Source organism: Homo sapiens, chromosome 13, assembly GCF_000001405.40.
Source record: "Homo sapiens chromosome 13, GRCh38.p14 Primary Assembly".
NCBI lineage: Eukaryota > Metazoa > Chordata > Mammalia > Primates > Hominidae > Homo > Homo sapiens.
This window is the reverse complement of record NC_000013.11, coordinates 52,319,612-52,333,016: the sequence shown is the minus strand read 5'-3', so window position 1 is coordinate 52,333,016 and position 13,405 is coordinate 52,319,612. Positions and strand designations below refer to the sequence as shown.

Below are 13,405 nucleotides of genomic sequence, written 5' to 3'. Positions count from 1 at the left end.
CACGCCTGCCTAATTTCTTTGTAGAGACGGCCTTCGTCATGTTGCCCAGGCTGCTCTGGAAGTCCTGAGCTCAAGCGATGCGCCCGCCTTGGTCTTCCAAAGTGCTGGGATTACAGGCGTGAGCCACCACGCTCAGCCCAATTTGTGATCTTTTATGCACTCTTTCATGTAGCATGTTTTCAAGGTTCATCCAACTTGCAGTGTCTTAATGCTGAATAATATTTCATTGTGTAGATATAATGTATTTTTCAAGTTTTGTTTATTTTTAATTGGTACACAACAAATATTTGTACATATTTGTGTGGTACACATGTACATGTGATATGTTGTTACATGCATAGAATATGTAATGATCAATCAGGGTATTTAAGGTATCTGTCACTTTGAGTATTTGTCATTGCCATATGTTGGGAACATTTCAAGTCTTCTCTTACAGCTATTTTGAAATATACAATACATTGTTGTTCACTGTAGTCACCCTACTCTGCTATAGAACATTAGAACTTAACTCCTTCTATCTAACTGTATTAACCAACCACTCTTCCCTGCCAACCCACACACCCTTCCTAGCCTCTGGTATCTATCTGTCCACCGTCAACTTTTTTAGCTCCTACGTATGTGATAACATGCAATATTTGTCTCTCTGTGCCTGGCTTACTTCACGTAACAATGACTTCCAGTTCCATCCAGGTTGCTGCAAACGACATGATTTCATTCTTTTTTTATGGCTGAATAGTACTTGATTATATATATCGCATTTTCTTTATCCATTTGTCTGTTGATGGACACTTAGGCAGATTCTATATTTTTGCTTGTGAATAGTGCTGCGGTAAACATGGAAGTACAGGTATCATCCCTTTGATATACTGGTTTTTTTCCTTTAGATAAACAGCCAGTAGTGGCATTGCTGGATTGTATGGTAGCTCTATTTTCAGTTTCCTGAGAAATCTCCATACTGTTTTCCATAGTGACTGTACTCATTTACATTCCCACACAACGGTGTGTAAGAGTTCCCCTTTCTCTGCATCCTCGCCCACATCCATTATTATTTTGTCTTTTTAATCATAGCCGTTCTCATTGGGTGAAGATGATATCTCATTGTGGTTTTAATTTTCATTTCCCTTATTATTAGTGACGTCGAGCATTTTTTCATATACCTGTGTGTCTTCTTTGGAGAAATATCTATTTATGTCCTTTGCCCACATTCGTTCATTCATTTATTGGAGTCAGGGTTTTGCTCTGTTGTCCAGGATGGAGTGCAGTGGTGCAATCACGAGTCACTGCAGCCTCCACTTCCTGGTCTCAGATGATTCTCCTGCTTCAGCCTCCAGAGTAGCTGAGACCACAGGCACGTCCCACTGTGCCCAGCTAATTTGTATGTGTGTGTGTGCTTTTTGTTTTTGTTTTTGTATTTGTTTTTTTTTGGAGACAGGATGGGAGTGCAGTGGTGCTATCACTGCTCATTCTAGCCTCAATCTCCTGGGCTCAAGTGATCCTCCCACCTCGTTTTTTGATTTTTGTAGAGATGAGGTCTCACTATGTTGCCCAGGCTGGGCTTGAACTCTTGGGCTCAAGCAATCCTACTGCCTCGGCCTCCCCAGGTGCTGGGATTACAGGCATGAGCCACCAAACCCAGCCTAATTTTTGTATGTTTTTGTAGAGACGGGGTTTTACTATGTTACCCAAGGTGGTCTCAAACTCCTGGGCTCAGGCAGTCCACCTGCATCAGCCTCCCAAAGTGTTAGGATTACAGGCATGAGCCATCATGCCTGACCCTTTTCCCACTTTTAAATGGAATGATTATTATTTTTTACTGTTGAGGTGTTTGAGTTTCTCGTGTATTCTAGATATTAATTCCTTGTTGGATGAATAGTTTGCAAATATTTTCTCCCATTCAACAGGTTGTCTCTTCACTCTGCTGTTTCCTCTGATGTGCAGAAGCTTTTTAGTTTAATATAGTCCAATTTGTCTACTTTTGTTTTTGTTGCCGTGCTTTTGAAGTCTCAGCCATAAAATCTTTTCCTAGACCAGTGTCCTGAAGTCGTTCCCTTAAGTTTTCTTCTGGTAGTTTTATGGTTTCGGGGCTTATGCTTAAGTCTTTAATCCATCTTGAATTGATTTTTGTGTATCGCGAAAGGTAGGAGGTTAGTCGTGTTCTTTTGCATACATATGGATATCCAATTTTCCTAGTACCATTTATTGAAGAGGATGTCCTTTCCCCAATGAGTGTCCTTGACACCTTTGTTGAAAATCAGTTGGCTGTAAATGTATGGATCTATTTCTGAGTTTTCTATTCTGTTTCATTTTATACCTGTTTTTATACCAATACTATGCCGTTTTGGTCACTAGAGCCTTGTAATATATGTTGAAGTCAGATAGTGTAATGTCTCCAGCTTTCTTTTTACTTAGGATTGCTTCTCTATTCGAGCTCTTTTTTGGTTCCATATGAATTTTAGGATTATTTTTTCTACTTCTGTGAAGAATGACACTGGTATGTTGATAGGGATTTTATTGCATCTGTGTATTGCTGTGGGTTGTATGGTCATTTTAACAATATTGATTTTTTTCTGATCCATGAGCATGAGTTGTCGTTCCATTTCTTTATGTCCTTCTCAATTGCTTTCATCAATGTTCTGTAGTTTTCCTTGTAGAGGTTTTTCACCTACTTGGTTAAATTTTTTTCCTAGGTATTTTATTTTCTTGAGCTATGATAAATGGGATTTCCTTCTTGATTTCTTTCTCAGCTAGTTTATTATTGGTGTATAGAAATGATACTAATTTTTGTATTATGTTGACTTTGTATCCTACAACTTTTTTTTTTTTTGAATGGAGTCTTGCTCTGTAGTCCAGGCTGGAGTGCAGTGGTGCCATCTTGGCCCACTGCAGTGTCCGCCTCCCGGGTTAAAGCCATTCTCCTGTCTCAGTCTCCTGAGTAGCTGGAACTATGGGCGCACGCAACCACGCCTGGCTAATTTTTGTGTTTTTAGTAGGGACGGGGTTTCACCATATTGGTCAGGCTGGTCTTGAACTCCTGACCTCGGGTGATTCTCCTGCCTCGGTTTCTGAAAGTGCTGGGATTACAGGCATGAGCCACTGCACCTGGCTGTATCCTATAACTTTACTGAACTTACTTATCAGATCTAAGAGTTTTTGGTGGAGTCTTTAGGTTTTTCTAGATACAAGATCATGTCATCTACAAAGAGGGACAATTTTACTTCCTCTTTTCCAATTTGGATGTCTTTTATTTGTTTCTATTGTCTGATTGCTCTGGCTAAGACTTCCAGTACTGTGTTGAATAGGAGTGGCAAAAATAGACATCCTTGTCTTGTTCCAGTTCCTAGAGGAAAAGCTGAAAGCCACGATAGGATCGTGTTAACTGTGGGTTTGTCATATGTAGCCTTTATTATGTCGAGGTATTAATAGGCTCCTTCAATGCCTAGTTTGTTGAGAGTTTTTATCATGAAGATCTTTTGAATTTTATCAAACCCTTTTTCTACATCTCTTGAAATGATCATATGGTTTTGTTCTTCATTCTGTTGATGTGATGTGTTATCTTTGTTGATTGATGTATGTTGAACTACATTTGCATTTCTGGGACAAATCCCACCTGATCCTGGTATGTTATCTTGTTGATATGCTGTTGGATTCAGTTGGTTAGTATTTTGTTGAGGATTTTTACATCTATGTTTATCAGGGATATTAGAGTGTAACTGTCTTTTTTTTGTTGTTGCATTCTTATCTGGTTTTGGTATCAGGGTACTGCTAGCCTAGTAGAATGAGGAAGAATTCCCTCCTTTTCAGTTTTTTGGACTAGTTTGAGGAGAATTGGTGTTAGTTTGTCTTTGTAAGTTTGGTAGAATTTGGTAGTGAAGTCATTAGCAGTGAAGCCATTGGGTCCTGGGCTTTTCACTGTTTGGATTCTTTTTTATTATGGATTCAATTTCATTACTCATGATTGGTCTCTTCAGGTTTTCTATTTATTCCTGATTCAATCATGGTAGGTTATATGTGTCAAGGAATTTATGCATTTCCTCTAAGTTTTCTAGTTTATTAATATATAGTTGTTCATAATACTGTCTGATGACTTTTGGTATTTCTGTGGTGTCAGTTGTAATGTCTACTTTTATTCATTTATTTATTTCTTTATTTTTTGACACACGGTCTCACTCTGTCACCCAGGCTGGAGTGCAGTGGTGTGATCATGACTCACTGCAGCCTCAAGCTCCTGGGCCGACGAGATCTTCCCACCTCAGACTTCTGAGTAGCTGGGACTACAAACATATGCCACCATGCCCAGCTAATTATTGTATTTTTTTTTTAGAGACAGAGTTTCGCCATGTTGCCCAGGTTTGTCTCATACTCCTGAGCTCAAGCAATCCACCTGCCTCAGCCTCTCAGAAATGCTGGGATTACAGGCATTAGCCACCGTGTCTGGCAATGTCTTATTTTTCATCTTGGATTTTGTTTATTTGGATCATCTTTTTCATTTTCTTGTTTAGTCTAACTAGCCGTTTATTGATTTTGCTTACCTTTTTGAAAAAGGAACTTTTTGTTTCATTGATTCTTTATATTGTTTTTGAAATCTATTTCATTTAGTTCTGCTCTGATCTTTATTATGTCTGTCCTTCTACTAATTTGAGGTTTGCTTTGTTCTTGCTTTTCTAGTTCTTTGAAGTTATCATTAGTTTATTTGAAATCTTTCTACTTTTAAAATATAGGTGTTTATTGCTATAAACTTCCCTCCTAGCACTGCTTTTGTTGTATCCCGTAGGTTTTGTTATGTTGTTTTCAATTTTCATTTGTTTCAAGACATTTCATTTTTTGAGACAGGGTCTCTCTCTCTCTCTATCACTCAGGCTGGAATGCAGTGGCACGATCTTGGCTCACTGGAACTTCCACCTCCTGGGCTCAAGCAATCCTTCTGCCTGAGCCTTCTGAGTAGCTGAGATTACAGGCACACACTAGCATACCTGGCTAACTTTTGTATTTTTTTGTAGAGACAGAATCTCACTATGTTGCCCAGGCCAGTCTCAAACTCCTGGGCTCAAGCAATCCACCCACCTTGGCCTCCCAAAGTACTAGGATTACAGGCATGAGCCACCACACCCAGCCTGTTTCAAGACATTTTTTGATTTCCTCTTTAATGTCTTCCTTGAGCTAAAGGTCATTCAGGAGCATGTTGTTTAATTTCCACGTATTTGTACAGATTCCAAAGTTTCTTTGTTATTGATTTCCTATCCTATGTCACTGTGGTCTGAGAAGATACTGGTATGATTTTGATTTTTGAAAATTTGTTGAGACTTATTCTATGTCCTAACATATGGTCTATCTTGGAGAATGTTTCATGTGCTGGTGAAGAGGTATGTGTATTCTGTAACTGTTGAATGAAATGGTCTATAAATGTCTGTTAGATCCATTTGTTCTAAAGCACAGTTTAAAATCAGTGTTTCTTTGTTAATTTCCTGTTTAGATGATCTGTCTAATGCTGAGTAGAGTGTTGAAGTCCTCATCTATTATTGCAGTCTATCTCTCCCTTTAGATCTAATGACATTTGCTTTATATATCTGGGTATCCCAGTATTGAGTGCATATATGTTTAGAACTGTTACATCCTCTTGCTAATGTATCTCCATGTCATTCTGTAGTGACCATCTTTGTCTCTTTTTACTGTTTTGTTTGTTTGTTTGTTTTTGAGATGGAGTCTTGCTGTGTTGCCCACGCTGGAGTGCAGTGGTGTGGTCTCGGCTCACTGCAACCTCCGCCTCCTGGGTTCAAGCGATTTTCCTGCCTCAGCCTCCTGAGTAGCTGGGATTACAGGTGCCTGCCACCATGCCCAGCTAATTTTTTGTATTTTTGGTAGAGATGGGGTTTCACCATGTTGGCCAGGCTGGTCTCGAACTCCTGGCCTTGTGATCTACCCGCCTCAGCCTCCCAAAGTGTTGGGATTACAGGCGTGAGCCACTGTGCCTGGCCTCTTTTTACTGTTTTTGACTTAAAGTCTGTTTTATCTGATATAAGTATAGCTGCTCCTGATCACTTTTGGTTTCCCTTTGCACAGAATATCTTTTTCCAGTCCTTTCCTTTCAGTCTGTGTGTCTCCACAGGTGAGGTGAGTTTCTTGCAGTTGGCATATATTTGGGTCATGTTTATTTTTTAAATCCATTCAGCCAGTCTATGTCTTTTCAGTGGAAAGTTTAATCCATTTACATTGAAGACTATTTTTGATATGTGAGGGTTATTCCTGTCATTTTATTAATTGATTTCTGGTTGCTTTATGTGTCCTTTGTCCCTTTCTTTCTCTCTTATTGTTGATCATTGTGGATTGGTGGTTTTCTTTAGTGATAACTTTTGAATTGTTCTTCTTATTTGTGTGCTTGCTCTACCAGTGGGTTTTATACTTTCATGTGTTTCTGTGATGGTAGATATCATCCTTTTGCTTCCAGCTGTAGGACTCCCTTACATATTTCTTATATACCTGGTTGAGTGGTGATGGAAAACCAATGGCTACCATTAAACTTAGTGGTGAAAGTCTTAAAGCTTTTCTCCTAAGATGAGGAACAAGCCAAGGATGCCTGCTCTTGCTTTTTCTATTCAACATTGTACTGGAGGTTCTAGCCAGGATAATTAGACAAAAAAACCAAAACAAAACCAACAACAAAAAAGAAAAAGCATCTAGATTGGAATGGAAAAAGTGAAACTGTATTTTTTGCAGATAAATAATGTTGTATATAGAAAATCTAAGGAACCCACAACAACGATAACAACAACAAACCTCTCGGAGCAACAATTGAGTTCACAAAAGATATAAAATCAATGTGCAAAAAGTCAGTTATATTTAGAAACACTAGCAATGAGTAGCCTGAAAATGAAATTAAGAAAGTAATTTTATTTACAATAGCATTAAAAAATAAGACTAAAACAAAAGAAATGTAAGACTACAAAACATTATTGAAAGTGATTAAGTAAAGACCTAAATAAATAGATACACATTCTGGATTTATTGAATGGAAGACATTACTGTTAAGATGACAGTACTCCACAAATTGATCTACATATTCAACTCAGTTCCTATCAGAATCCTAGCTTCTGTTTTGCAGAAATTGACTTGCTGATCCTAAAATTCATTTGAAAATGCAAGGGACTCCGAAGAAGCAAAATGATCTTGAAGAAGAACAATGAAGTTGCAGAGTCCACACTTTATTATTTCAAAACTTACTTATAGTGGTTAAAATTGTGTAGTACTGGAATAAGGATAGACATGTAGATCAATGGAATAGAATTGAGAGTCCAGAAGTAAATTCATACATTTAAGGTCAATTGATTTTCCCCAAGGGTATCAAGGCCATTCAGTGGAAAAGAACAGTCTCTTCAGCAAGTGGTGCTGGAACAACTGGATATCCACATACAAATGAATGAAGTTAGATCTCTTCCTCACATCATACAGAAAAATCAGCCTCAAATGGAAGAAATATCTAAATGTAAGATCCCAAACCGTACTCTTAGACAAAAACATAGGTGTAAATTTTTCTGATACTGACTTAGTAATGATTTCTTTTTTTCCTCTCCTTTTATGTGGGACAGGAAAACTAGAGGGGTTTAGAGTTGTCTTACTGCTTTTCCCCTATGTCAGACAAGGCCCTGATAAAGCAGTTTTTCTTTAGGGCAGGGCTTTCACACAGAGAATAGAATGCTCTGGGCATATTTCAAAATGGTTGCTGTACCCACTCACTCTATCCACCAACTAGGGTATATTTTGAAATGGTTGCTTTTCCCTTTTCCTTGCCTAAAGAACCTGAGGAAATTTTCTTCAGCCTTCATCATGAGAACCAGCTAGGGTTTCTGGAAGTAACATTCATGAAAGTATAAGGGGTTCCCAAGGCGGGACTTCAACAAGTTTTTAACTCTCAAGCTAGTCCACACTTAGCCACCAGTAATTTATTGACTAGCATTTAAGTGTTCCTACCAATTACTGGCTCCTGTGGCTTCTGCTCTCAGGTAAACTGTGATGTTCTGTAGTCACGTGTCTCTCTAGTTTTTGAGGAAGTGGTTTGCCCTGTGACCTCTATTCTCTGACAGATCTAAGAAAAGTTGTTGATTTTCAGTTTGATTATCTTTTTTCCTGTTGTGAAGATGGGAGTGATGACTTCCAAGTTCTCTGCATGTTGGAGTGGGAACTGGAAGACCTAATTAACTTCTTAAGAAACTGCCAAACTGTTTTCCAAAGTGGATCTAGCACTTTACATTCCTGGCATTGTATGAGAGTTTCAGTTTCTCTCTATCTTTGTCAACACGCCATCTTTCTAATTTTAGATATTCTAATAGGTATCTAGTGGTTTCTTATTGTAGTTTGAATCTGCATTTCTCTAATAGCCAGTTATGATGGCCCTCTTTTCATTTGCTTGTCAGTTGCAAATCTTTATTAGTGAAGTATCTGTTCACATATTTTGCCCATTTTTTAAAAGTTGGGTTGTTTTCTTACATTTGAAGTTTATTTTTTCTTATAATCAAAATTTTAATGTATACATAACAAATTGTACATATTTATGAGGTACAGTGTGATGTTTCAGTACATTTTACATGGTATAATGATCAAATCATGGTAATTAGCATATCCATTGCCTTAAACATTTACCATTTCTTTGCTGTAAGAACACTCAAAATCCTCTCTTCTAGCTAGAATATGAGTGTATTTTAAATGTACACCTATTTATTTTCTCACAAGCCTAGAAAATGATAGCTTGAGTCAATGAAGTTTCCCCTGCAAGTCCTATCAACCTTGCTTACTTTAGTGAAATTTAATATGGTCTAGAAAACACTGAGCCCTCTGGTTATTCTCTCTAACCCACAAAGGAAGCCGAACACTTGATAAAAAGTTCATCAGCGTAAATAAGAAGAATCCCCTCCATTACATACAAAAGAAAAAATAACTGGAGAGATCGTCTCTGCTCTAAGGTGATTATCCTGTGGTCTTTGGTTTTAGTACATTCTCCCCGACCCCATGCCCTTTTCCCTCATCTTTAATGAGTATCTGTATGTGTGGCAGAACAGCGTGTTTTTAAGTCTCTGCAGTCTTGGACCAAGCTCGTTTTATTCCCTACTCTAGGAGAATCTCAGAGCACCAGGATTCTGTTTGGGGTTGCCATGGACACAGAGTTCTTAATCCAGTACTGGCTTATTCTCAATACGAGGTAAAGACCTAGAGGTGAGGGTCTCTGAGCAAGGTAGTCCCATCCCATCCTCTGCCCTCTCTGTTGGCTAATGTTGTCCTCTCATCCTCATCAGGAGAATTAAAATCATGTAAAGTTTTGGTGGGGGAACTAGGTGGTGGTTTCTGGGGCCCACAGACAGGAAAGTTTGCTTATAGCCAGTTGGGGGGACCACTAATTGATATTCCTTTCCCCTCCCAGGGACCTTACGGAGTCCCTTTATCCTCAGGGTACTGGGGGACAACTAGTGGGTGTAGGGCCAAATAGTAATAACCTTGTTATTTGCCAGGAATGGGGTAAAGATTTGATCTAACAAGCTTGAGTTTTGGGAATTAAAAAATGAAAAAAGGAAAAGCTATAATCCTGAAAGGCAGCAGGAGAGAAAAGTGCTAACAGGATCTTGAATAAATTTCTCCCTCTTAGAGAAGGTTGTACTGAAGACACGAGACCTGAGACTTGTGTCATTTTAGCGGCTGAACCGACCCCAACTTCTTCTGAGCGGCAGTGGCGCCAGAAGCAGTCTGGCTTTCAGGTAAGCAGGTCCAGGGCTTACAGGGAGAAACTCCCAGGTATCCAGCTCTGCCTTGGGTTGCCCTGGTTCACGTCCAAAGGTGTGCTTGGGCCACATCTCTGGAGCAGAAGGTGGTAGACTGAGAGCTTTGATATTTCTATTTCTATTGCACATGAGCTGGTATAACCCCAAAGGTATGGAATTTGCTGCTGTCTGTGACCCAGCAAATAGAAATAGAAAAGTAATGAGATAGAAAAATAATAGAAATAGAAAAAAAATTGTAAAAATAAAACAAGCCCCATTCTATGCCTGTTAATGTCCTTAAAAATAGGACATTTTTAGGCAGTGTGATAACATGCATCTACTGGTTGCTTTCATCTTTCCTATAGGGGTGGCTGCTTGCCCTAATGGTGGATGCTCTGTTCAGGATGGTGACCTAGTGCTCAGCTCTGGAAGCCACTCCACAGAGATGGCCACCGAAAGGTCTTCAGTGGTCCCATCTCAACACCTGAAACATTGTTAATTATTACAGTGAAGGTCACAAATGGGCTTTTATTAGTGATATTGGTGACTTACAAAGCAGCATGATGGATGTTACAATTATATGACATTTTAAGATCTGTGAATCAGCTAAAGTGTTTTGGAGACAGCCCACCCTTGCATAAACAGGATAAAAGTTTATGAATGTGGCCTGTAGTGTATACTTAGAGATGACACCCCAGGCTTGATCCTCATATGGTCCTATCTCCAGGAAGGTTTAGGAAGATTTTGGCCTCTGGAATATTAGGATTCTGTTGAGAATGAACCTTTCATGCTTGGAGCACCTAAAGTACAGAAAGCTTACAGAAGCTTATGTACGGTGCCTGCTTGCTACTGAATGTTTTGTTAAATGAATATCTGTATGTGTGGCAGATTTGATTGGAGAGCTGCTTTTCATTATAACCTGGTAGCCTGATTATAAAGGTGTAGCTAACCTTCACCTAACTCAAACTTCTGTGGTTTCTCCTGTCTACCAAAAAGCATTTAAGAATTCTGCGTGATCACGTTATTTTAGGATAGTTTGTCATTCTCACCTTCCTTAGAAGGCAATTTAGCTAGCTACTTATTCATGTCCCATGAGGGAAGTCAGTCTGTGCTCCCAAGCAGCTTATCAAAGTATGATTTCAGACTTCATGCAATACTCTCCCTGAAAGGAGTTCAGGTAACATGTATGGATGTCTTGTGTCCTTTTTGGAGATTAGTTTCCCAAGGAACTCGCTTAGCAGTCCTGGCTTGTCACCTGGATCTGAAGAGTAATTTGAGTGTCTTCCCGTTCTCTTCCTTGGTAGAAGATATCTGAAAAATCCAGTAATCATTCAATAAGGCTGCTTATGTCAGAAACTCAAATTCTTATGTTTTTGGCGTTTTGAACATTTTCCCCTGTTATGACTTATTAGTGTATTCTGCATAGACAACCCAGTTGTCCTTCCTGCAGAAAAGCAGCAGATACCTCTAGATGCCTTTCTTTTTGTAAAAGGTATTGTTTTTCCTGAGACCTGGATGAATTTCCATGAGCCATTCAAGGGCATGAGAACACCCACTTAGAACTTGAGAGGTTCCCTTCATGGCCCTCAGACTGGGCTAACGAGATTTGATAATTTGAACTCCAGCACTCCTTTCCTCACAGGCTGAAAGAATAGCACAGTATTAATGTCTATCTGCGCTTAAAGGTTTGAGCTATCGACCACAGTCCAAAATTAGTTTGTGTAGGAGAACTTTTACTTAAAGACATAAAAAGATACCATTTAATATATTGCTTCTAAAATGTGTTTCTCACACATTTCCACTGTGAGAACGAGGTTCTGTGGTCAAATAAGTCCAGAAACCTCAGCATGCTCTAGGGAATCCCAGTTTTTATCAGCAGCAGCCAAAAAAAAAAAAAGTGTGCAATCAGTTTCTTAAACTTATTTAAACATTTGAAAAGTTAGCAAATTGTGGCAAAGAGCATTAATTCTTGAGTCTTGGGAGTGTATTACTTTGATAAGCATGTTTGTGTATTTGAAACTAAAACTATGTATCAGCTTATATTGCCACATACTGATTTTTATGACATAATATATGGTGTAGAGAACAGGTGGTCTAAAAACCAATATTTGCAAAATGCTGAATATTCAGCATGGTTTTATGAAGTTGACAGATGCGGAGTGTATTCTGCATGTGTCTTAACTTACAGATGAGGAAATGAAGTTGTAGAGAGATTAAATTAGCTAAGCCAGTGGTTTGGGTGCTAGGAAGTCTTGATTTTGTAAAATATAGCCATATAATTAAAAAAACCCGAGAATCCAGACAAAAAGAAAACAAAATCATTCTAAACATATAATGTACTTTAAGTTCACAAAAAGTTTTAAACATAATTTAGGCTATCCTTGACTTACCTACTTGTTTATTTCCTACCAAGGATGACCAGGAACTAGCCATTGATAGAGAAACATTCATTATTCTTACACTTTCTTTCTTTTTTCTGTGTCTTTTCACACACACACACACACAGTCTCAGAAGTACTAGTGTTTTGCCCTGAAATTGTTTGTTTAGTTCCTGTCAAAATTCCTCTGATTTTATTTTTCATGTCCTGAAATACTGTCGAGATTAACATCCTGATTGCCTTCCAAAATATCTGACTTTATTTTTTGTATGTGCTTTTTACTCTTTGGTAGAATTCTGGATTCATTACCAGCGTCTACCATATGCTCTGACAACTATGACCACAATGGGTGAGTTGACTGATCTAAGTGGTGAAAAATGCTGGCAGCATCAATGGCAAAAACAGCTTTCCATAAGAGAGTTTAAGCATCTTTAGGTAGCGTTGTTTTTGAACCTATGTGGAAAAAATAAGGTCAGGTCAGAAGAGGGACATTTGGTACTTGAAGATTGTTTGTGACTCTTAGTAATTGGCAGCCAAAACCCTTAGGAGACTATCAGAATGCCTGTGTATGAGACTCTATCAAGAGCAATTCAAGAGAGGAGAGAATCCTACTTGGAAAAAGGTGGTGGTAGCATTGGACAGGCAGCAGAATAGCCCTTAGCAGAAAGAAAAGAGCTAAGAGACCCTGTATCTGTCCCTCACCCTTCAGAGCTGGTGCCCAAACCCAAAGCCATCATCACATTGGATGGAGCCCCTGCCTCAGGTTTAGTCACTTGATCCTATTTGAGGGGAAGCAAAGATACCTGTGACTCATGAAGAGCATGAGTCACATGGTGGAGGGACTTGAGAATTAGGAAATCAAAATGGGCAAGAACGATGTGTGCCTTCAAATGGAACATGAATTTGAAGCAAATTTCGGTTCAATTTGCTGTCACACATAATGATCAGGTTCAGTAATAAAGAATTGTACTTAAATTTTGATTCATTAAACTTTCTGGAGAGTCCTAAACAATTTATATTACTAACACATAGAGACTTCTTTCTGGAGAAAAATGAAGTACCAGGTGCCAAGTAACAGATTTACATGAGAATTTTTTAGGGACAACACATTGCAATTTGTAGCACAGTCATAGCCAATTTGAACCAAAAAAAAAAAAAAAAAAGGAGTGTATGAATTTATGTTGTTTCTTCCTGTTTGCTTTTAATCCTTTGCACTGATCCCAATGAATTGACATCAGAAATCTGTGCTGGAGCTAACAATGAAAGGTGATGTGATAATATATATTG

General features: G+C 38.6%; 1 pseudogene across 1 annotated transcript in view; it reads left to right on the top strand.

The window, feature by feature from the left end:
* The first annotated feature begins 9,681 nt into the window (after window positions 1-9,681).
* Window positions 9,682-13,405, top strand: part of TPTE2P2 (TPTE2 pseudogene 2) — a 104,605-nt pseudogene continuing 100,881 nt past the window's right edge. Inside the window, exons 1-2 of the transcript XR_007063808.1 lie at window positions 9,682-9,737; window positions 12,411-12,467. The product of XR_007063808.1 is annotated as a TPTE2 pseudogene 2 (transcript). The remainder of the gene's footprint in view (window positions 9,738-12,410; window positions 12,468-13,405) is intronic.